The sequence below is a fragment of the Homo sapiens genome, chromosome 17 (assembly GCF_000001405.40).
Source record: "Homo sapiens chromosome 17, GRCh38.p14 Primary Assembly".
Taxonomy (NCBI): domain Eukaryota; kingdom Metazoa; phylum Chordata; class Mammalia; order Primates; family Hominidae; genus Homo; species Homo sapiens.
This window is the reverse complement of record NC_000017.11, coordinates 63,793,877-63,819,370: the sequence shown is the minus strand read 5'-3', so window position 1 is coordinate 63,819,370 and position 25,494 is coordinate 63,793,877. Positions and strand designations below refer to the sequence as shown.

Sequence of the window (25,494 nt, the reverse complement as noted above, 5' to 3'; positions counted from 1 at the left end):
ACTATTCTTAATATGTACCAATTCATAGACAGAAATGACAAACGATCCACAGGTCCCGGTAGTAAAACATTTACTAGAGAGCAAGCAGAAAGGAATGCACATCTTAAAGAAACCTTCACAAAGTCACAAAAGTCAAAGTTTGTATATTTCTTTTCCTTTTTATAAACGATAAACAAAAATCATCAAAATCATTTCAGCAAAAGACTTTTCTATCATTGGGGCAAGTTAAAAAAAATACAATGAGATAGAAGACACTTTAAAAGCTGTTGTTGGGTTTCTTGTTTAATTTTAAATTTAGCAATACCATCTCAAACCTGGAGCAATCCTGGAACAGTTACCAGGATCACCTTTTCCCTTCAATCCTTGTGGCTTCTGGGAATCTTCAGAGCCTGGGTCTGAAAGGTGTTTCCTACATGTCTCAGGGCTGGATGCAAACCTGGCTGGGGACCTGAGCATCAACTCCCATTTAGAATCAGACATCTCCCTTCCCTGCAAATGTCTACAACTACCAAATTGCTCCCCAACAGTTAGCTCAATGGATTGAATTTGCAGAAGCCAACTCCTAAAATGGGGACTGCCTGGCCATACAACTAAGAAAAAGAAGTCAATTTATAGATGCTTATAAGGTGACACCTTAGTAAAAAATATAAGCTACATACAATATAAACCTAGAGTGAGTTTTGTGCCCTAGAAGACCCTTTATCCCAAGATAACCTCAACTTACCCACATGACAACTCACCTAGAGCCAAAAGAAGCTTCCCAGCTCTCACTGCTTCCAAGGACCAAAACAGCTTCCCAAGAAAACATCCGAAAATTCCTTCTGATGAAGGGGTAATGTCTCCAAGCTCCAGCTCTCCACTAAGGGCAGGGGGTCCTTACACTTTGGACCCCAACCCAGCCCTGAGACACCTAGTTACCAAAATCTTTCTAAAAATTAAGGACAACTGATTTCACGCTTTAGCACATCCCCTCTAACTGTCCCATCGACTTTTCTTGCGTTTAGGCGGCTCTGGGACAGCAAAGCCGTCAGCTGTCTTATCTGTCTTGCTGTCCACCTTGTCCATCTTGCTGCTGTCCACTTTGGGTTCCATCTTGGGCTCCATCTTGCTCTCACGATTAAAAGCTTCTTTCCTGCTTTCCCCATTCCGACCATCATTTGCACCCCGGTTCTCCCCATGCCGGCCTGCGCTTCCTCCATGTCTGTTCTCCCCGTGCCGATGGCCATCAGTATGACGGCTGCTGCTTTCTGGATGGCGGTATCCATCTCCATGGCGACCACCATCTCCGTGACGTGGACTATCGCTATGCCGATTGCCAGTCTCTCCGTGACTGTGACGGCTGCTGCCCCGGTTCTCAGTATATCTCTCTCTTTTCCCGTTGCTGCCCCCAGTCCCTTCTCGGCTGTTATTCCCTGAAGCTGTGTTGTTGACTCCTTGGGCTCCGGCAGACGGGTAGGTCACAGGGGCACCACTGATGTTGCCAGTATTGCCAAAGCCTGGGATGCCCTTGGCGGCACTGGTGACGGGGCTGTCAGGACTGTTATGGCCCTGTTGTGCTGAGTTAGTTGGAACAGAATTCAAGCTCCCTGCACTAGTCCACCCACTTGCCCCAGCAGCAGAACTTCCAGCCTTCTGATTACTTAAACTGGCTGCAACAAAGTGACTCTTGTACTGTGACTGAAAGAGAAAGAGACATCAGGAGTAGGTAAGATAGCAAGTTCAAGAAACTTGAATATACAACTTGGCAAATGATGAGGTTTACAGAAACTCTGTGCTATCCTGGCACTGTGAGTTTAGTGTCCTGATGGCCCCACAGTATGGTCCCTTTTGTTCTTGTGCTATAAAGGAAAACTTGTGGATCTCTGTGGAGAGATGGACCCCCAGTGTTCTGAAATGTACTTTTATAGCCTGATTGGCTAGAATAAAGCATCTATGTATTTAGCACATTTATCTGCATTCAAAACCAAAAAGTTCTGAAAACTTAAAAAAAATTTTCATACTGCAATTTAAGTTTGACAGCAAAACCTGCCTTGAACTCATTCTATCGATTCACCTTAGTGTGACTATCAGTAAATTTTGCTTCAGAAGTGAGTTGGAGGTGGGTGCCTGGGAGGTGGGCAACACTTCAGGCTGTTGGGAAGGGAGGGAACACACACCCTGCTGCAGGACAACAATCCCAGGCCCCAAGTGTGACTCAAAGTAGACCAGCACAAGGGGTTCTCTAGATCAACTTGCATTTCCAACTAAGCTACTGTTAGGTTTATATTCAAAATCCAAGCAGCGTGAAGACCCTAAATCTAGCATCAAGCCTAGGCGCCCAGCTACAACCAGGAAAACTAAGCCCCTCTGTCACTGCCCAAGAGTTACTGCTGAAAGTGCTTTTAATGAAATGCTTATTTCAGACCTGGAAAGCTGCTTTCATTGCCGTTAGTCGATCTCCCATAGCTCCTGTGGAAGGCTTGTAGGCCTCATAATTGCTCATTACATTGTTATTTCCTCGATCCTAAAAAAATAAACACATCTATGAGAATGAAAAAATAAGCAGGAAAGCTCACTGCTATAGACTAGGCCTCATTATGAAAACCCTTGAAGTGGGAGCTACAAAGGAACTGGATACTTTTAGAAAGCTGCTACTGCTTTGTGAGAAAAGACACAGTGACAATCATTTAAAAATGCTTATGCCCTCAACCCAGAAATTCTATTTCTGGAAATTAACCCTATTAAACAGAAATGCAATCAGATTATGCCCAAAGTTGATCATGTATTTACATAAACACTTCCAATTAATTAAGTAAAAATTACGTTAAAGATGAAAAGGCCCTGAATAGCATATTGTGTGACTGCTCAGGCCCTGAATCAAGACCATGAAGGGTCTGAATTTCGGCTTGAACACTTGTCACTGTAACCTTAGGTGCCTCAGCATTGTTATCTGTACTAACTTCCATTCAGTTATTTTGAAGATTAACTGAGCCAAAACATCTGATTGCTTGGAATGGTCCTGGCACATATAAAGTGCTCAATAAATATTACCTATTATTATGCATCATCATCATTATTATTATAATGTGGGAACAGAGTATGTAATTACAAAGATGCCAAGTTTAATGCTCCAGAAAAGTATACTGGCAGCTTTCTTCCCTGGCTTGGAATCAAGGTGACAGAAAACAGGCAGTTAAGAAAGGCCACCAAAAGGGTACATTTGTTACCTGGTTTGTGAGAAAAACTAGCTCCCGACTTGGAAATTCCTGATCCGTTCCTGAGTTTAATGACAAGATATGGCTAGACTTTACAGTGACCCTTTGGCAACATTTACCTAGCAGCAGGCTTTAGGCCAGTGTTGAAGGGCTTATAAAACCAGACTGCTGGGCCCCAACTCCAGAGTTTCTGATTCACAAGGTCTGGGGTTGGGGATGAGTTTGCATGTGCTGCTGGTCCAGGGACCACAGTGTGAGATCACTGCTAATCTAGAATAATTTCCTGAGCAAGCCTAGTCAACCAAGTACACAAAGATGCTTCTTCAATAGAAAGTTACCATAAGAATGAGCACTGCATTGACTCAAATCAGATTAAATACAAATTCCCTTCTAGACAGGGCTTTAAACTCACTGAGGCTTTCCTGGGTAGATGAGAATATTCCTAATGACTTTCAGGACATGAGACCAACTATAAAGGCACTACTGTAGTAGTCTAGACTCACCATGTTCTCAGAGCCCAGGCCAGGCCGCTCCCTGTAGCCTAGGCCTCCTCCACCAATGTTCAGCTTTTTTCCTTTCCCTCCTTTGAATCGAGATTTCCGAAACCAGGCATTCTGCATTGAACAAAATTCAAGGTTAAGTCAAGGGAGGGAGAAAAGAACAGAAGAAGAGAACGAGGACAAAGAGGAAATTAAGTGGGAAGGGGGAACTTTTGCTTAATTTTCAGCCAGCACTACGCTAAGGGAGGAATTTTCACAGGAACCACAGATTGGTTTCTCTTTGGTAGCATAATCCACCAAATTTGAAAAGTGGCTGAGATCCTTATCTAAGGCTTCCTACAGTGCTCCCTCCCTCAAGGCTCTCCTGGAAGGGAAGTTGTTCAGGTAAGCTTCAAACCCAGAGGAGTAACTTTGGCTACTTCTAACTTCCTTGAGGAAAATGAGCTTATATTTTATTTCTCAAACCATGTATTATTGGACGTAAACATTTGGAACTTAAACAACTGGTATGTTCAGAAGCAAAGGAAAAATGCTATGTGAAGTGAGGCTTATCAGAACTGACTATAGGGACAGACTCCCAGAAAGGATGGTAGCCACACAACTGAAAATTTTATTTACCCGCAGAGCGTAAAAGTTTTCATTGAACTTGACCATTGCCACTCAACATATTTACTCACATTCTCTTAAGAATGCAGGGCGGTGGCTCACGCCTATGAATCCCAGCACTCTGGAGGCCGAGGTGGGCGGATCACTTGAGGCCAGGAGTCAAGACCAGCCTGACCAACATGGTGAAACCCCGTCCCTACTAAAAATACAAAAATTAGCCAGGCATGGTGGCACATGCCTCTAATCCCAGCTGCTTGGGAGGCTGAGGCAGGAGAACTGTTTGAACCGGAGACGCAGAGGTTGCAGTGAGCTGAGACTGCGCCACTGCACTCCAGCCTGGGTGATAGAGTGTGACTCCATCTCAGAAAAAAGAAAAAAAAAAAAAAAAAAAAAAAGCAAATGTCTCTGGGAAGGTTAAAGTTTTATCTGACAATCACATATTACCAGCAAAATAAAGTGCTTGAGAGGTAGGGCAGCAGGCTTGGACAAAGTCCTGAGCACAGAAAGCCTGAGGTACAAAAAGAAATGGAAGAAAATGCCAAAGTCAAAATGTGTCCTGTTTTAAAAGTTTATTTAGGACTAGCTCTCTGTGCTCAGGAGCAGGGGAGGAAACATTATTCTCTTCTCTCCTGCAGTGCAGGTCCTTTACTCCTAGGACCAGAAACTTGGGCACTGCCACATTGCAGCTGGGTTGTACCAGTTGTGTGAGCTGGCCTAGGCATTTGACAAACTCTTAACAGTTTCTGCTCTCAGAAAGTGTTCCGAACCCATTTGTAATTTGGGGACAGCATGGATTCAGATGACTCCAGGTTTGATTTGTTAGAATGCCTCACTTAGCTTTAGATTGGAGCACACCTGGAAGAGGGCAATCAGTGTGGTCAGAGGTCTGAGATCTCTGCAAGGAACAGTTAAGAGGCACCATACAGGCTGGGCACGGTGGCTCACGCCTGTAATCCTAGCACTTTGGGAGGTTGAGGCCGAGGCGGGCGGATCACCTGAGGTCAGGAGTTCGAGACCAGCCCGACCAACATGGCAAAACCCCATCTCTACTAAAATTACAAAAATTGGCCAGGCGTGGTGGTGGGCGCCTGTAATCACAACTGCTTGGGAGGCTAAGGCAGGAGAATTGCTTGAACCCAGGAGGCAGAGGTTGCAGTGAGCCGAGATCGTGCCATTGCACTGCAGCCTGGGCGATAGAGTGAGATTCTGTCTCAAAAAAAAAAGGTGGGGGGGCACTATACTATACACATATTGTTTTAAAGGCATCACACATTTTTAGCCTCCCAGAAGAAAAATTTTGTGGGGGAAGAGCAGTAAGGAGAATAGTAACCATCTTTGAGATTAAATTTACTCCTAAGTGTGCTATGGGGTAGAAATTACAGCGACAGATTTTAGCACAAAGGAATAGCTTTTCAAAACAGATGCTGTTGAAAGAAGAAGACCAGATAAGACTAGATGAATTTTAGTATCTCACAATTCCTATCTGTACCTCATAAGCCCCACATCCTCCTAGCCACCCAACTTTCTTGTCAAGTTTTTATGTTATCTGTTCCAGGACTGCTAAAATGTCTTGGTCTTATAACCAGGAGCAATTGAAAGTGTGCCCAGCCCCTCACCTGCATTGCCAGATCTAGGAGTTCCTTAGAAACGTGTTGATTGGCTCCTTCCAAGTTCCGGACCAGGTCACCAGCAAAATTGCTGTCCTTGGGAGTGAGTAGGGTATAGGCCACACCTTTCTCACCCGCTCTTCCTGTGCGGCCAATCCTATGCGTGTGGGTATCAATGTCTCGTGCCACATCATAGTTAATGACAGTCTTAATTGAAGGAATGTCCAGACCACGGGCTGAAATAAAAAGCAACCAAATTCTTTTATTCTTCATCTGTAGTCAGAAGATCAAAGTAACCAGAAATGCTAGTGCTAATAAGCCACATTTCCTTTATCTAGGCAAAGCGCATGGGTTTGGTGAGCTGAGATACAGGCATGTTAAGTCACCACCACAGATTCTATGATGTTAGGCCTTCTAGTGTAAGGGACTTTTATTTTTTAGAGACGGAGTCTTGCTCTGTTGCCAGACGGGAGTGCAGTGCCATGATCTCGGCTCACTGCAACCTCCGACTCCCTGGTTCAAGCAATTCTCCTGCCTCAGCTTTCCAAGTAGCTGGGATTATAGGCACGCGCCACCACACCCAGCTAATTTTTGTATTTTTAGTAGAGACGGGGTTTCACTATGTTGGCCAGGATGGTCTCGATCTCCTGACCTCAGGTGATCCGCCCGCCTCCACCTCCCAAAATGCTGGGATTACAGGTGTGAGCCACCGTGCCCGACTGGGACTTTTATCTTTTGCATCAGTAATCTGCCATGCCCTCTTCTCTTGCACTGGGAATATATATTTAAAATGTGTCATGAAGCTGAGAAGTTCTCTCCTTTCTAGGAAAAAATATCAGTGTTTAAGGGTAGTTATTAAAACTTGACAGAACAAATCCAGAAATTATATTCCAAAAACTGTTCTCATCCTGAGTTAAGTTGCCCAACTAAGCTGTGTATAGTAGATCAATGTAAGGGTAAGGTATCTACTATATTCAGACATACAATAAGGGCATTCACTGCCTTTTTTCCCAGAGTGACTTCTAGCTGCAGGGATTCTTTGATTAGAGAGAAATACTAAGTGAAAAGTGGTATCTAGAGCTCCAGACTGTGATCCCTGTGCTGAACTGCTGCTTCCTTGGGGGTTTGGGAGGGGATGGCCAGCCAGGCCAACAGTCTTTCCATCAGCCTGCTCAGATATTATAGGTCTTATGTAGTAAGACAGAGTACCCTTATAGCCTAGGAACTTAATGTTGTTGAAAAATTCATACTCTACCTGCAACATCTGTGGCCACCAGGACTGGGATGTCCTTTTTCTTAAAGTCTGAAATGACCTTGTTTCTCTCACTCTGATCCATATCCCCATGGAGCAGCCCAAGATTATGACCCTCCTGTTTAAGGTTATTCGCTAGCTCTTCAGCATTGGCTTTTTTAGTAACAAAGAGGAGGACACTCCCTGAAGAGGTAAATTCTACCAGACGCCGGGTAAGCCAGTTCCATTTACTAGGTCCAGAATGGAGAATCTCCACAATCTGTGTCACATCTTCATTTGCCTGAGAAGGAAGAAATGAAACAGATGATTGTGACATTGGAGCCACAGGGCACCTGAACAAGGACTAGGCATTATATTTCTACCTGCATCGAGAAGACCTTGAACAATCCCAGTTCTCCTTGGGCCTTCAGCAAGTCAAGTGCAGCTCAAAACTCACCTCTCCTTTCCAATCACCTTGCTCTCCACCTGGTGTACATACCTAATTTGTATGCCCCACTACTTTGTAGAGCTTTCCTTAACAATAACCATGGCAAGCAACTGAAGGATTCTCTAAGCAGCCATAACTGAATTCCAAGTCCCAATTCAGAGTAATTTTTCACATAGCGCATATGTACAGGTAAGAAATGAAACCTGATTTTTTCCAGGCCTTCCAGGTCACCCTTTCCCTCCTGCGTAGGCCCCTACCACAATAATTAAAACGTCAGTTCCAACCTAATACGCTGATGCTTCCAGGCACATCTTTTTGTCTCTTTGAAGCCTTTTTAAAACAATTGTAAGTTTTGAGACATTCAATAAAACAAAAAAAACACAAAATGAACAAAATCAACTCATACCCATCACCTAGCTTCAATGATTCCCAACATTTTGCCAGTCTTGTTACGTCTATCCCCACAACTTGCAAAATACCCAATCTCAAGCATGTTGCATCTATAAACATAACATCTTTTTTTTTTATCTCAATAGTGAGAAATTAATTCTGTGTTCCATAATATGAGAAATAAACCCATTAAGGTCCCATCCAGCCCTGCTTAGGGTTACCTCTCCAATATCTCCCTGCACCACTCGAATAGGGTCGATCAGGATGTCTCTGGCCAACTTTTCAATCTTCTTCCGAAAAGTTGCACTAAATAAGAGAGCTAAAAGGTAAGATAAATTCTGTTAGAGAAACAATATGATATCTTTATGCATACCCATTAAGCTTCTTTGGCATTCAGGATTATTCAGTTTTTTTACATAAGCTCACCTGAACTTTAAATTTAGTTTAGAAACTGATTCACTAGGGAAAGATTTGCTCTTATTCTATTTTTATTACATTTTTAGTTAAGACAAGTTGTCAGTATGGTTCAGAAAAAGACTCTTGATTTCAAATCAGCAGATCTGTACTGTACACTGCTTCTACCCACTGATAAAACTGTATAATTTAGGGCAGTTTATTTAATTTCTGATCCTTGGTTTTATCATCTATAAAAAGGAACAAGTTATATCTAGTGCTAAGATCCTGTCCAGCTCAGATAAACTCATTACCTCCCTTATTATGGTTCTCACCAACAGACACAAGATCATTTTTACTTCCATAACTCTGAGTGCTTATAAAATAAATAAGTGCCCTTTTTAGTACAAATTTGGTTTAACAAAGGTGCTTCATACATACTCTGCCTGTCAGGACGAACATGACTTGCTATGGATCGAACTTGGTACTCTGCAAGAAACAGAACAATAAAATTATTATAACCTGAAATACAGTTTGGGAAGCCTGGAAAAAGCCATATTAGTAAAAGTCTTCATAAGAAGTTGTAAGAATTAAGAAAATTAGAAACCCCAGGCCAGGCACAGTGGCTCATGCCTGTAATCCTAGCACTTTCGGAGGCCGAAGCAGGCGGATCACTTGAGGTCAGGAGTTCGCAGCCTGGTCAACACAGCTATCTCTACTAAAAATACCAAAAAAAAAAAAAAAAAAAAATAGCCAGGCTGTGGGGTAGGTGCCTATCACCCCAACTACTCAGGAGGCTGAGGCAGAAGAATCGCTTGAAACTGGAAGGAGGAAGTTGCAGTGAGATCGCACCGCTGCACTGCAGCCTGGGCAACAAAAGCAAAACTCTGTCTCAAGAAAAAAGAAGCTCCTAAACATATCATTCAGCATAAAAGTGAAAAATTTTCCCTCCATCCAACTGGGCTAGGTCTAGCAGTGTTCCAATCAGTAAAGACAGCTACGAGGATAGGAAAGCAAAGGGCCTCGAATGATCTGACATTCATCTACCCAAGAACACAGACCTTAACCTCTATGATCAAAGGCATATGGATAAAAATGAAGACAGAGAAAATATTCCCCTTATATACAAAGGCACTTTGAAATTTCCTCAACCCAATAAAACCTAACATACTTTTCCAGAGAAAACTCCTAAAAATGTTCATCTTAGCTATATTTCTATAGTCTAACCCCATCCAGGAGTATTTTTAGCTTCTCTCATGCTGAAAAAACAGTCTAGAAAGACATGGAAAAAAAACTAGTATCATGAGGATGGGGACAGAAGAAACTGGTATTCAAGGCATACCAAATCCCATGTCAAACATTCGATCTGCTTCATCAAACACAAGGTAAGAGACTCTTTGAAGATTGGTAGCTTTCTTTTTCACATGATCTATCAGTCGACCCTATAAGATCAACAAAATGAACAGTAAGTATAATTAAAGGCATTCACAGGGACTTTCTAAGCAGTTGCACTCCTGGCAAAAGTGCTAATTCTCTAGTCTCAGACTGTAATAGATACTGGTCCAACAGCCACATACCTTATGCACTACTTAGCTCAAAGGAACAGAAATTTTGAAAACTCAATCGGCATCTTCATTTACACTGTGATTTAAATTCTGTGGGAAAGTGGCCAGAAGCAGTTTTTGAGGCATTCTAAAGTGACCTGATTTAAAGCATAATGACAGGTTTCAATGTTTAAACTACACTCTTCTAGGCTATTCTGACCATATGTATCTTTCTGATTCTTGATGAACTTGGCAATCATTTTGTGGGAGAGTATAAGAAAAACTATTTGACATAGAGGGGAATTTGTAGCTACTAGCCTATATGTCACAGAGACTCTCACTGAACTGCTAATTTAGCCACCAATCAAAATTAAAACCACAGCCTGCCGTTCATCAGTATATTTTCAACCCTGCTTTTACCACACTTTAGGGGAAATTCTCTGCAAAACTAATCATGTTTTCCATACCGAGGGAGGCTGAGAAGCCATTTAAACACAAGGCATACTTACTGGGGTACACACAACAATCTCTGCCCCCTCCTGAAGGGCCTTGGCCTGCTCCCACATACTCCCTCCTCCATATACGGCCACTGATCGAAGATTATATGCTTTTCCAAACCGCTTACATTCTGCATGGATCTACAAAGTTGTGAATAATATATTAACAAACTGTGACACTAACAAATACCTGTCACAACCCAAACGAAGTTCTGAAAAACAGAATGTGATGTCATAAAAAATCGAAACCTAGAACATACTTTAAAACCACGATTTTATTCATAAAGGTATAAATGAATGGAATACCATTATTGCATCTCAACAGATTATCTAAAATCTTTTATTCATTTTACCCCCTTCTCTTCCTGATCCTGTCACTGCTTTTCTACCAAGATAAAATGAACTCATCCTACAGAAAAACTGTCAGCTTATAATACAAACAATCCCCATATCACAATAGGCTTTTCCTCTTAAAAAAAGTAGTTCTGGCCGGGCACAGTGGCTCACACCTGTAATCCCAGCACTGTGGGAGGCCAAGGCAAGCAGATCACTTGAGGTCAGGAGTTTGAGACCAGCCTGGCCAACATGGTGAAACCCCGTCTCTACTAAAAATAAAAAAATTAGCCAGGTGTGGTGGCGTGTGCCCGTGATCCCAGCCTCTCGGCTGAGGCAGGAGAATTGCTTGAAACTGGGAGGTGGAGGTTGCAGTGAGCTGAGATCACACCACTGCACTCCAGCCTGGGCAAAAGAGTGAGACTCTGTCTCAAAAAAAGCAAATAAATAAAAATAAATAAAAACAGTAGTTTTTAGGGGAAAATATGTATTTGGTTATATAGAAAATATTTAACACATAATACTTTCCAAAAGTTTCCTGGTAGCACAACACTGTGAATATACTTAATGCCACTGAACTGTACATTAAAAATGGTTAAGATAATCAATTTTGTGTGTATCTTATCACAATTAAAAAAAAAAGTTTCCTGGTCATTCTACCTCACTTGACTGGCTGGTCCCTTGCTAGTCCACATATGGAAGGAGGCATTCTATAGAAAGCACATACCTGCTGGCAAAGCTCCCTGGTAGGACACACAATCACTGCAATTGGTCCATCACCTGGTTCCAACTCCTTCTGGTCCATTATATGAATCAACATGGGCCAAATGAAGGCTGCAGTTTTCCCACTACCTGTTTTGGCAATACCAATCATGTCTCTACCACTTAATGCCACAGGCACACCCTGGAGAAAAAGTAAAATATAACCACTCTAAAATTTCAATTCTAAAGATGTACTGAAGCAAATCCTGGGGAATGATAAATGACTACTAACATTTTTATTTGCAATGGAACAAAACATACCTGGTGCTATGCATACTGGTTGTGAAATAGAAATATCAATATCCAACATTCTCATTAACTTCTTGATTTATAGGAAATGACATCATTCTCATTACGTGGATATCAGCCACCACTTACAGAACAGAAACAACTCCATTTTGTTTAAAATACAGAAATGAAAAATCAAGGCCGGGCAGTGGCTCACGCCTGTAATCCCAGCACTTTGGGAGGCCGAGGTGGGCAGGTTCCCTGAGCTCAGGAGCTCGAGACCAGCCTGGGCAACACGGTGAAACCCTATCTCAACTAAAATACAAAAAATTAGCCAGGTGTGCTGGCGTGCGCCTGTAATCCCACCTACTTGGGAGGCCGAGGCAGGAGAATTGCTTGAACCTGGGAGGCAGAGATTGCAGTGAGCCAAGATCGCGCCACTGCACTCCAGCTTGGACAACAGAGTGAGACTCTGTCCCCAAAAAAAACAAAAACAAAAACAAAACAGAAAAATTGCAATTTATAATGAAGGGTTGCTAAAATTTTAAAAATTTTCCCCCCTTAAGAAGGTACAGACTATCTCATTCATATACAGAAAATGAGAATGTTCTGCATAAGAATAAATAAATCCCATATATAAATGGGAAAAAGAAGCTAAAACTTTCAGTAATGAATGAGAATTTTCAAGTGACGAACGAAGGAATTCTAGTCATTGACAGTGCTAAATTTGTCTATATACGAACCTTTTTGGTTAGGTTTAGGCCTAATAAATTATTTTCTTCATATCATATTTTCAACATACGTATCAGATACAAAAGAATATTTGTCAGCCATTTAGTGACTTCTTAAGAGTGATAAATACCTCTATCCTTATCAACAAGGTTCTACACTAAACACTGTTTTACTGCTGTGATTTGTTTTTAAATTAATATAGTCATGAAAGACTACCCTACTTTATTTTTCTTTCATTATGTTTTACTTACCTGGCACTGTATTGGAGTGGGCTGTGTGTATTCAGATTTCCGAATCTGGTGCATAAGTTGTTCGTCAAACCCAAAATGAGCAAAGCTACTTCCTGGTCTAGGAGGTGCAGCACCAGAGACCTAGAGATAGAGACAACTCCCCAGAATGACTTGTACTTCAACATTAACAGCATTTGAAGTTCAACAATACTTACCTGGATCTAGCATTTTAGCTGGAGTATGAAGTAAAAATACAAGTCTGTAAGCCAAAATCATACAATGAAAAGGAAAAACCTCAAATGGTAACAAATATAAACCTCATATTAAAAACTCCATGATAAATATTCCCAAGATAATTGTCATACAATTTTAAATGATTAAAAATTTCTTAACTCAAAATTAATTTTCTCATAACAAATAAAACGGAAAAAAAATTGTTCAATGAATTGGGAAGCCATAACTGTTCTTTTGCCATTTTGCATTAAGTATTAACCAGATGGTAGAAAAAAATTAATGTATCTTACTCTTGAAATGAAAATTCCAAGTGGGCTCCAAATAAGACAAGTCTACACATGCTGGCTACCAAGATATAATCTACTGCCTCCATTTTCAGTTATGCTTGATGAATTAAAGTCTCACTTAGTGATGGTCCAGCCACTGTCAAGCCCTGTTCAAACTGCACCTAGGTGAAGAATGGGGCTTATAATCTCCATTTTGTCCCCCAAAGTGGTAACCTTTCAATGCTTCTCTGGTGATGTTGATATTTCCAATCAGGATTTCAGGGGTTTTACTTAAAATTTTTCTTGGGTCACTGGGGAGATGAGTAACCTCTTGGAAAACAGACAAGTGTACACACACAAATACACACCCCTCCTGGAAAACAGGAGTTTAAACATCGTGTAGCAACTGATAAGGTGCACACAGGCGAGAAAGTTGTCTATATTAGAGTAGATAGCATAGCATATTTTTTCTGTGTGTTTCATTTACCATCTATCAGCACCTTAAACCAATGTAGCCAATGTGCAGCCCAAAACTTTCTGGTAGGCAGTTTAAACCATTCTGAAATTAGTACATGCATATTTTTAAAAGGTATTAGTTTATTCTAATTTTTAAAATAAAGCATACTATATGTAATTTGACAGACAAGTTTATCTTCATTTCAAAATATTCTAAGATATCATCTGTTAACATCTATTCCTTTTGTTTCCTCTTCCTTTAGATGGGGACTCCCACCCTTCATCACTAGCCCATCCAGCACAGAACATATAAAACTGACTGAAATATGAAACAAGAAAATGATCCTATCCTAAAACAGCATCTAGAAGACTAAAACAATCAAATTAAGAGACATGAACAGAAGGGATATAATAATTACTCTGGCAAAGACAGTTCAGAGACCATTAGAAAAGAAATTCAAGGTTATTAGTTTAGATAACCAATAATACTAAATCTGGACTAATTAACATTAATATTAAGAATATTGAGCTTAATGATGCTTACCCGAAGATTGAGCTTATGCCGGAGATCTATTAACTGCTGTGGAGTGAGGTTGGTTATCTCTTCATGCTCATTGTAAAAGTTTTTTTCAAATGGTGGATAGTCAATCTGCAGGTCCAATTATTCAAAGTTAGTCTAGAATTCAAGAGTCAATTCTGTAAGTTTGATTTTATTGCAAAATAATCTTTTCCAAATTTTACACAAGTAAAGCCATTCCAGCTAGAGAAAGCAAAAAAATTAATTTATTCTCAGCTTAGATCCTAAAAAGTATAGCTAGTTTGTTTTCTGTTCCTATTTTCAATATAAACACCAACCTACTTCTTTTATTGGTTGAGACAGTTTCGCTCTGTCACCCAGGCTGTAGTGCAGTGGTGCGATCCTGGCTCACTGCAGCCTCCACCTCCCCGGTTCAAACAATTCTCACGCCACCTCAGCCTCCCAAGTAGCTGGGATTACAGGCATGAGCCACTGTGCCTAGCCTAACACCAACCTACTTCCTAAAGAGACTCTTAAGGAAACCTCGAATTTGAACAACATTGAAGCAGACTAAGGAATCTCTCTATAATGCCAAAGACCTCAGAGGACAGAGAAGATATTTCACCATATAACATTTAAATATGTTTTGAATAAAGCTGTTTAACCTAGCTCTAAGCATTTAAAAACACTCCTAATATTTATTTTGGAGATAGCTCTGCTTTTAGAGGGAGTTCTATTCTGTTTAAAAACATGGAGTTGTTTATAACTTTTAAAAAATGTATGGCCAAGAATTTCCAATTCCAGAAAGTAGTAGTCACTTCTATTATTCTTTTCATAGCTTAGTGTAGTAGGTATACAAAACATAAGCACATCACCACCTATCAATTTGGCTAAATTATTTTTTATAAACTATTTTTTTTTTCAGAGACAGGGTCTTGCTATGTTGCCCAGGCTAGACTCAAACTCCTGGGCTCAAGTGATTCTCCTGCCTCAGCCTCTCCAGTAGCTGGGACTCCAAGCATGCACCACCATGCCTGGTTCTTAAACTTATTTTTTAAGAAAAATATAAGCATTCTATAGGTAGTTAAAAAAAAAAATCATAGTTCTGGATACATAAAAAAAATTGGAAGAAGAGTGACACTATTGTATTTTCACAAATCTCTTTATTAATGTCGACTTAAATAGCTCCTACTATATTCAAATTATTGCAATAGGTTGGTTTTATTTAAGCCTATAAGAAATTCTTGCCTCCAGGCCTGGAGCAGTGGCTCATACCCGTAATCCCAGCACTTTGGGAGGCTGAGGCCGATGGATCACTTGAGGTCAGGAGTTCAAGACCAGCCTGGCCAACATGGTGAAAGCCCGTCTCTACCAAAAATACAAAAATTAGCCGGGCGTAGTGGCACACACCTGTAGTCCCAGCTACTCGGGAGGCTGAGGCAGGAGAATCTCTTGAACCCGGGAGGAGGAGGAGGTTGCAGTGAGCCAAGGTTGCGTCACTGCACTCCAGCCTGGGCGACAGAGCAGGACTCCATCTCAAAAAAAGAAAAAAAAGCAAAGGAAAAATACGTAGTTGAAAAAGAGAGGACAGTATTTTAGTAGCCTTTTCAGATACCTTTTTTTTTTTTTTTTTTTGAGATGGAGTCTTGCTCTGTCTCCCAGGCTGGAGTGCAGTGGCACAACCTCAGCTCACTGCAACCTCCTCCTCCAAGGTTTAAGTGATTCCCCTGCCTCAGCCTCCTGAGTAACTGGGATTACTGATGCCTGCCACCAATCCCAAAGACGGGGGTTTCACCATGTTGGCCAGGCTGGTCTCAAACTCCTGCCCTCAAGTGATCTGCCCACCTTGGCCTCCCAAAGTGCTGGAATTACAGGCATGAGCCACCGCACCCAGCCCTTTTCAGATACTTTTTATTTTACACTAAAACTTGACAAGTGGTCATTTCCTAAAAGTTATTTTCATTGTGTAATCTGAAACCATATTACTGAAGTTTTCACACTCTGTTACATTATAATCCATTTATTTATCATGTATTTTGAGTTGAGCTTTTATTCATGCTTGACTTTGTAATGTCATACATTGATCATTTGGAAAATATTGGTTCACTGAGGTTATATACAGATCATCCAAATGTTAACACATTTCATTATATTAAAAATCAGTTACTAATATCACCATCAATTTTGTCACAATGGTCTTTAAGTACTGAAAAGCTGTCAAGCCTACTGTGGTAGATGTAAGTTTTCCAAATTCTAATTTTTGCTTGAAAGCTTGAATTTTTTTTTTTTTTTGAGATGGAGTGTTGTTCTTATTGCCCAGGCTGGAGTGCAATGGCATGATCTCGGCTCACTGCAACCTCCGCCTCCTGGATTTGAGTGACTCTCCTGCCTCACTCTCCCGAGTAGCTGGGATTACAGGCATGCACCACCATGCCTGGCTAATTCTGTATTTTTAGTAGAGATGGGGTTTCTCCATGTTGGTCAGGCTGGTCTCAAACTGCTGACCTCAGGTGATCCACCCGCCTCGGCCTCCCAAAGTGCTGGGATTACAGGCATGAGCCACCATACCCAGCCTGAATTTTGTTATTAAAAAACAAAATTTAGATGGAGTTTCACCAAGTTGCCCAGGCTTATCTCAAATTCCTGAGCTCAAGCGATCTACCCGCCTCAGCCTCCCAAAGTGTTGAAATTACAGGCGTGAGCCATTGCGTCTGGCCGAAAGCTTGAATGTCTATCATGGGTAATAAACACTTTCAATTGTTTTCCTTGAAATGTCATTGATTTTGTCCAGTGAAAGTGGTGTTCTATGAAAAAAAGTAGCTAGTTCACCTTACAACTCAAACACATAAGTGCTTTTCCTTGAAATGGCTATCATATTTTGGTATGCAACAGAAATGCTTTATGCGTACTTCCCATTTTATCACACAGAATAAAAAGACATGTAGCTCAAGGGTCACGACTTTAATAATTTTTACTGTTCAGGGCATTCTTGAGTGAAACTGGCCTTTTTTTTTCTTTTTAACTGCAATGGTCTGAGAACAGAGAATACGCCTACTAGAACAGTTTGGTGCCACTGGCTTGATTCATGCTAAGGCATCAGCAGTTTTACTTATCACTGCTTTTACACCAACAATGTAAATGTTGATGCAGTAACAAAGGAAAACAATCTTGGTATAATGAAAAGTGTTTGGACTCTGTAGGCTCCCTGAAAGGGGTTCTTGGTCCACACTGAGAACCACTGCTCCAGATCTAGAATCATTAGTGTATGTGAGATCTCGGCTGATATTTAACCTGGATGAAACACTGATATTTTTTCAAGTGGGTATACCGATGTCCTCATTCCTTAAGGATCCTGTAATTACTGGCTCCACTGTGAAGAAACAGCCTCTCATCTGCCCCAGATCTAGGACCAACAGTAAAAATTTATAGCAATTAAAAAAACAAATGTGACCGGATGCAGTGGCTCACATCTGTAATCCCAGCACTTTGGGAGACCAAGGTGGGTGGATCACTTGGGGTCAGGAGTTCGAGACCAGCCTGGCCAACGTGGTAAAATCCCATCTCTACTAAAAATGAACCTGGGAAGCAGAGGCTGCAGTAAGCCAAGATTGCGCCACTGCACTCCAGCCTGGGCAATAGAGCAAGACTTCGTCTGGAAAAAAAATAAACAAAAAAATAAAGGCATGCCAGGTACAGTGGTGTGCACCTGTAGTCCCAGCTACTCAGGAGGCTGAAGTGAAAGGATCACTTGAGCCAGGGGATTTGGGGCCAGTCTGGGCAATATAGCAACAACAACAAAAACAGTAAACACAGGCCAAAACGTTCCCAGTTTGAAAGAAAGATGTCAAGGCTGGGTGCGGTGGCTCACGCCTGTAATCCCAGCGCTTTGGGAGGCCGAGGCAGGGGGATCACCTGAGGTCAGGAGCTCAAGACCAGCCTGGCCAACATGGCAAAACCCCATCTCTACCAAAAATATTTAAAAAAAATTAGCCAGGCATGGTAGTGGGCACCTGTAATCCCAGTTACCCAGGAGGCTGAGGCAGGCAGAATTGCTTGAACCCAGGAGTCAGCGTTGCAGAGAGCCAAGACTGTGCCACTGCACTCCAGCCTGGGTGACAGAGAGACAGAGAGAGAGAGAAAAAGAAGAAAGAAAATAAAAGAGAAGAAAGAGAAGAGAAGAAAGAAAGAAGAAAGAGAGGAAAAAAAGGAAAGAGAAAGGGAGAAAGAAAGAAGAAAAGAAAAAGAAAGAAAGGAAGGAAGGAAAGAAAAGAAAGAAAGGAAGGAAGGAAAGAAAAGAAAGAAAGAGAAAGAAAGAAAAGAAAGAAATATTGGTTCTGGAAAACAAGTACAATTACTTGAAAAAAATGTTTTAATTCTAAAGTCAAATGTAAGTGATTTGGTTATACTTTTGAACAAAACAGGCTATAAAGCCTCATGGAATTTGTGGCTCAACCACTTAGTAGAGATGACAAGATGCATACGCTCATGATGTAAGAGTATTCCACTACTGAGAAAATCTAAATGTTAAAGCTGAAGTAAAGCATCAGCTTGAAACAAGAGTAAAATTCAGCAAGAAACACCATACCTCTGAATGATCAATGGGGGGAAGAGGATCAATGATTTTTTTGGTAGGTGCAATTGGATTTCCGTCACTATCATATTCTAGATTGTCTTCCTCTTCCTCCTGAACCACACCAGCAGTTGGGTTTTCTGCCATGTATCGAAAATAAGCTTCCTGCAGGAAAGCACAAGAACATAATCACACCCAAGTACAATTGAGAATGTTTCTGCTCCTGTAATTAGCGCACATAGTGTACCAGATAATTGCACAGTTAACATACCTACCAAGTAAGGCAAGATCCTTACTAGCAATGATTCCTTTAATAATAGCAATATTCAGAAGAACAATCAGAAGAAATGAATTAAACAGTTAGTACTATTAAATGTTGCAACTTGTTTAATAGAAGACTTACAAATCTGTCTGTTCCACAGCCTTCCTGGAGTGGGGTGTCTATCAACCCTGCCCAGAGCCATAGAACACATGCTGTGGCTTTAACAATCCAAGTTTGGAAGTTAACGCTAATTAGAAAGGTCACAAACCTGGAAACGGCTACCACTCACTCTGATTCTCATCACTCCACAACTGAACAATGGGGGAAAAGAGACTAATGGACAGTAATTAATGTTCCAGCTTGAAATACAAGAACCACAAACAGGACACTTACTAAGAGACAGAGGTTAGATGTTACCAGAGGCCATCAATAGATCCCACACTACTCTACCACTTGATTTATCAGAATAAACATTAATTTTGGATTTAAAAAGAAGCAAGCTGAATAAAGCTCGTATTTGCTTTGGATGTCACAGTTGATCAAAAATTCCATCTTCAATATGGGGGAAAGCCATGTGAATCTATGTATTACCAATTGGTCACACAGGTACAAAAGGAGCAAATCAAATGACATTCCCTGCTGAATGTCAGGAATGGCCATTTTGAGTGAAGGCAAGCTCTAGCTTGTCCCCAGTATAGACTTTGTGGATAAAAATAAAAGATAGAAATACTGCATAGGAACTCACTTGGTCATCTTCCTCTTCAATGTCATCTCGAATACCCCTGGAAAAACAAGCGGAGAAACAAACTTCCCTGCAAATGTTCCACATACCCAGCTCCATACTTACAGCAGATTAGTGTTGAATTCCACACAGCACAGGAACTCTCAACACTAATAATAACAAAGCAGCAATGAGCACACTATAAACTATCCACCCCATTATATATATGTGTAGCTGCACTCTATAATCTGCAGTTTGCATTTCTTTTAAATGGGATGATATGATACCCCTAGAAACAGCGGTTACCAACAAGGATATCAGACGTAAAAACTTTCTGAAGACAGATACCAAATGGTCCTAGTTTTGTGAATCCATACAACAAACAATGCGGTTGTGAAAAGTATTTCATACTAAAAAGAAAAAAAAAATCTTGTATTTGGCATATACTAGAAAGGTCACAACCTTCTTATTGTCCCCAAAGTTTCTAGCTCTAGGGTAAATGGTTTTCAGCCAAAAGCAGTTACCTTAGGGATGGGGACAGAGTGAAAACTACATTAACTCCTTTATGAGTTTGGGAATAAAACGCTTAAACAGTTCACATGGAGAAGGGGACCATCACCACTTGCTGTATGTCTCAGGAGCTATAGAGAAAATATGGTTGCTTAGTTCCCACAACCATCTGTTTCTAATCAGACTTTCTGCCTAACCTAGAGCGCTTGCTATTCCTAAGGCAACCGGCAAGCAACACCACCAGTGCAGGGCAGGTGGAAGGGGATATGACATACAGTGAATACCAAAACCACAGCTAAATCTCCATATGGAACAGAAACCCTGGTAAAGGACTGAAGCACTGACTGCCAAGCACAGGGAGAAAAAAGTCCAATCATGACTGGCAGAAAAAGCCTTAGGAGTTTATTCATCAAGGCAAAGAGACTTCTCTTTCCCAGAAAATAAAGTACTTCAAGTTCTGACTATGGCTGCTACAGCACAATGTCACTCTGGAGCTAAATAAAATTAGGTATTATTACAGCCCTCCTTATACACAGGTTTTTATACTGTGAATATTATTTTTCCACCTGTGTTGGTTGAAAAAAATCCCCATGAGTGGACTCACGCAGTTCAAACCTGTGTTGTTCAAAGGTTCAACTATACATAGTTTTCATGATACAGTTGCCATTACTTCTCATAATCAACCATATAGGCATAAACCTATTTTATATTAATTATGCGACAAACTCAGAACAATGAGCCTAAACTTTAATAATTATGCTCCCCTAAACTCTACTATAATTCATTCCTTGTGTTTACTAAACAACTATTTATAGTCAAAGACCAAATACTATTCTACCAAACTGAATGCTTTTTAATTATTGCAAATGCAAAGACTGTTGCCATCTCTATTCTTAAAGTATTCAAGATACAGGAATAACTTCAAGTAAAGTACACAAGTGTACGTCAATATTTTTTCTCTATAAACTTTGGGGGAATAGACTTTGCAATACTTCAGCAGTTTTCACGTAACCTTTGTGAGGGAGAAGAAAACAACTTACTTTACGTTTTTTCTTTCCTTGTCCTTTTCTTCAAGCCTCTTCATGTCTCTAGCTGCCTGATCCTAATGAAACAAAAGGCTGTATAGAATGACATCAACTAAAAACACTGAAAGAAACAATTTTTAGATTGGAACAAGTGCCATAATAGCTTTAGCTATGTATTTGACAAGTGCATTTTGATGCCATCAAATTGCATTTTGACAATTATTTTTCAAAGAGAAATAACTAAATGCTGTATAAATTGGCTGTATATGGACTGCACAATTTTATCTGTAATAATGTGCCACACATGGAAAAATGAACAAAAATGCTTGCTTCACAAATACATAACCTTAAGTTGCTTTAAGTTAATGATAAAATTACAGATATAAAGTGCTTTCAATTCAGGCAGATAGGCCTTCCTCAAAGTATAGCTTAAGACCACATACATCTGACTCTGGAAAGGTTGCTCTCAATCTGGGACAATTTTGCCCCTAGGCAACATCTGGCAATGTCTGGAGACATTTTTAATTTTGGGGGTGGTACAGCTGATAGTACTGGTTTCTAGAGGCGGAGGATGGCTACTAAACATTCTACAATACACAGGAAAGCCCCACAACAAATAATTATCCAGCGCCAAATGACAGTAGTCTCAAGGCTGAAAATTCTGTTCTACATCTACTAAATCAGAATCCTTGGGGCTGGAGTGAGTTAAATGTGTGTAGTTTTTACATTTTTCATAGGCAATTCTTTTTTTTTTTTTTTTTTGAGATGGAGTTTCGCTCTCGTTGCCCAGGCTGGAGTGCAATGGCACCATCTTGGCTCACCACAACCTCCTCCTCCCAGGTTCAAGCGATTCTCCTGCCTCAGCCTCCTGAGTAAGCTGGGATTACAGGTATGAGCCACCACATCCAGCTAATTTTGTATTTTTAGTAGAGACGGGGTTTCTCCATGTTGGTCAGGCTGGTCTCGAGCTCGTGACCTCAGGTGATCCACCGCGCCCGGCCTAGGCAATTTTTATATACTGCAAATTGATGATCACTGATCAAAATTAATCATTTGCATTATACATTTGAAAATCAAGGTCAGAAGAGTTAAATGATTTTTCCCAAGGCTTTATACACATTCTGCACAACTTTTTCTCACTATAAAGCACCGTGAGTTTTTCTGGCAATCTCAGATTTTTAAAAATGCCACTATATATACTGTGGCATGATCGGGTGTTCTATCAAACCAAATGTTCCTGATGAAGAGAAATTGTTTTAAAGAGAAGCAATGCATACAAACAACCTACTTTTCGGAGGACTGAACCAGCTATAAGATATATTTAAGACTATAAACTGAAGATGACATAAGCAATGTAACATAAGAAACAGGTCACCAAAAGTGGTAGAACATATTGTTTAAGCCTACATAAATCCTTTTTCAGAACACTGGCTAAAAATAAATCTTCATCTAGTTCAAGCACTAGAAAAGTTTATACTTTCTATAAAATTTGACATCTGGGCCGGGTGCGGTGGCTCACGCCCGTAATCCCAGCACCTTGGGAGGCCAAGGCGGGCAGATCACCTGAGGTCAGGAGTTCGAGGGCAGCCTGACCAATATGGAGAAACCCTGTCTCTACTAAAAATACAAAATTAGCCAAGCATGGTGGCACATGCCTGTAATCTCAGCTACTCGGGAAGCTGAGGCAGGAGAATCGCTTGAACCCGGGACCCGGGAGGCAGAGGTTGTGGTGAGCTGAGACTGAGCCATTGCATTCCAGCCTGGGCAACAAGGGTGAAGCTCCATTCCTCCCTCCAAAAAGAAAAAAGGCCAAGCAAAAGAATTTAGCCTATTCTCGGATACTGTCACTCAGAAAGGGCTATGCCAGTTTGTACTACCATAAATCTACATTTAAACCCAGAAAATCAGAGCTAATTTTTCTTTTAATTCATCACTAGGGATCCCTCAAGAAATAACGAGACCAGATTCTCTAGGAAACATAGCCCATTAGGAAATGTTCGTATCTCAAGAAGATGAAGAAAACAACGCATACAAGACATCTCAAAGATGACAATTCATTTATTGCCTTTACTCCTAGGGTAAATCACTTAACATATTAACTAAATACCTACTATGCTGCAAGACACACGTATACCCTGAATAGTCTGGGTGTTTGGTAAGTATCCTGTATAGTTTGTAAGTGGCAGAAATACACAACACTATAAGAACTCAGATACAGAATGATACTGCATAAGGAATATGGGGTTTGGAGGTGAATTTTGGCTCTGCCACCTATTAGGTGTATATTCTTCAGTAAGTAACTTAAGTTGTTATAAATCAAAGATGGCAAATTCAAAGACCAAACTGGAAATAAGTAGGCATATTCTTCTACAGAAATGTACTCTAATTTTTCTTACATCACCCTGAGTCTTTTGTTTTCTGATATCTGATAGAGAACTAAGTTCAGAAAAATAATTCTCCACCCTAAGAAAAATTACAATACAGAGGCTGGGCACAGACCCACACCTGCAATTCCAGCACTCTGAGAGGCCAAGGTGGAGAGACTGCCTGAGGCTACGAGTTTGAGACCGGCCTGGGAAAAAATATTTTCTAAAAATTAGCCAAGTGTGGTGGTGTGGTGCCGTGCACCTGTAGTTCCAGCTACTTGGGAGGCTGAGGCAGGAGGATCACTTGAGCCTAGGAATTTGAGGTTACAGTGACTGTAATGGTGCCACTGCACTCTGGCTTGGGCGAGAGATCCTGTCTCAAAAGAAAAAAATTACAGTGCAAGAGAAATGACAAATGGTGCTATAAACAGTGGCCTCAAGGTTAAGAAGAAAACAGGGATTGATGTAACTATGGTGAGCAAGGAAAAGCATGCCTTGTCTAATGTAGGCAGCCATTTGCTCAGCAATAGCCTCTTTCTGCCACACAAAAACACAGACTTAGTATATTGCCAGATCTTCCTTTTTTCAACAGTCTGAACTATTAGACAAGATCCCCTGATACTAAAAATGTTGGCTCACATTTTAAAAAAGCAATGTCTAGGCCAAACAAAAACACATTAATCTTGGATTATTTCTTTCCCTACTTCCTTGGAGGAGAGGTGTATTCTGGCTGAAGACAAGTAACTAAGGAATCCGAAAGGATTTTATTTCATAACTAATTAAGTGACAATTTTTCTTTTTTTTTTTTTTTTTAAGATGGAGTCTCACTCTATTGCCCAGGCTGGAGTGCAATGGCGCCATCTCGGTTCACTATAACCTCTGCCTCCCAGGTTCAAGCGATTCTCCTGCCTCAGCCTCCCGAGTAGCAGGAATTACAGGCATGCACCACCATGCCTGGCTAATTTTTTTTGTATTTTTAGTAGAGATGGAGTTTCACCATGTTGGCCAGGCTGGTCTCAAACTGTTGATCAGCCCACCTCGGCCTCCCAAAGTGCTGGGATTACAAATGTGAGCCGTGAGCCACTGTGCCCGGCCAAATTTTTTTTTTTTTTTATAGACAGGGTCTCACTATGCTGCCCAACCTCAAGCAATTCTCCCACCTTGGCCCTGCAAAATACTGGGGGTTATAGGTGTGAGCTACGGCACATAGTCTAAAGTGATAGTTTTTGGTTTCATTTTGTTGAGAAAGGGTCTCACTTTGTCATCCAGGCTGAGTAGTGGCATGATCATGGCTCACTACAACCTCAGCCTCTCAAGTAGCTGGAACTACAGCAGCATGCCACCACGCCTGGCTAAATTTTATTTTTTGTAGAGACAGGGACTCGCTATGCTGCCTAGGCTGATCTTGAACTCCTAGACTCGAGGGATCCTCCTGCCTCAGCCTCCCGAAATGCTGGGATTATAGGTATGAGCCACCATGTCCAGCCATCTAAAGTGACAGTTTTTAAGTATGGAGAATAACATGAAAAGAAACATATTTTGGTCTAATTAACCTGTAGCTGTATACTACCTAATAAGACAGCAGAGAGCCTAAAGCAGGGAGAGAATTTACGAGAGTGTAAAGTAGGATGGCTACAATGGCAACAGAAAGGAAAGAACAAATGCAAGGGCTATTATAAAGATTGACAGATTTTGGCCAATGAGAAGAGGAAAGGCAGCATGATGTATGGGAAACAGCTAGACCTTCAGGACTACTAAGCAAGCGAAATTAGATTTGAGTTCCAGGTCTGCCACATTAAGTACCAATATGATTTGGGGCAAGTGATTTGAATTATCTTGGGTCTCGGTTTTGTTATCAGTTAAAAAATTATA

At 40.9% G+C, this 25,494-nt stretch overlaps 1 protein-coding gene across 5 annotated transcripts in view; it reads right to left on the bottom strand.

The window, feature by feature from the left end:
- Positions 1 to 53: 53 nt before the first annotated feature.
- DDX42 (DEAD-box helicase 42) overlaps positions 54 to 25,494 on the bottom strand; it is a 45,518-nt gene continuing 20,077 nt past the window's right edge. For 4 of the 5 annotated variants that reach the window (XM_047435282.1, XM_047435281.1, NM_203499.3 and 1 more), the window contains 15 exons: positions 21,272 to 21,333; positions 19,746 to 19,782; positions 18,754 to 18,903; positions 14,196 to 14,300; positions 12,717 to 12,836; positions 11,471 to 11,647; positions 10,423 to 10,551; positions 9,712 to 9,811; positions 8,811 to 8,858; positions 8,198 to 8,295; positions 7,163 to 7,439; positions 5,917 to 6,143; positions 3,698 to 3,808; positions 2,405 to 2,503; positions 54 to 1,677 (listed from right to left, as the gene is read on the bottom strand). In XM_047435282.1, the coding sequence (XP_047291238.1) occupies positions 973 to 1,677; positions 2,405 to 2,503; positions 3,698 to 3,808; positions 5,917 to 6,143; positions 7,163 to 7,439; positions 8,198 to 8,295; positions 8,811 to 8,858; positions 9,712 to 9,811; positions 10,423 to 10,551; positions 11,471 to 11,647; positions 12,717 to 12,836; positions 14,196 to 14,300; positions 18,754 to 18,903; positions 19,746 to 19,782; positions 21,272 to 21,333 (2,445 nt within the window). In that variant the 3' untranslated portion in view covers positions 54 to 972. Of the gene's footprint in view, positions 1,678 to 2,404; positions 2,504 to 3,697; positions 3,809 to 5,916; positions 6,144 to 7,162; positions 7,440 to 8,197; positions 8,296 to 8,810; positions 8,859 to 9,711; positions 9,812 to 10,422; positions 10,552 to 11,470; positions 11,648 to 12,716; positions 12,837 to 14,195; positions 14,301 to 18,753; positions 18,904 to 19,745; positions 19,783 to 21,271; positions 21,334 to 25,494 lie in introns of those variants that run through there. The other variant, XM_047435283.1, reaches the window with a different exon arrangement.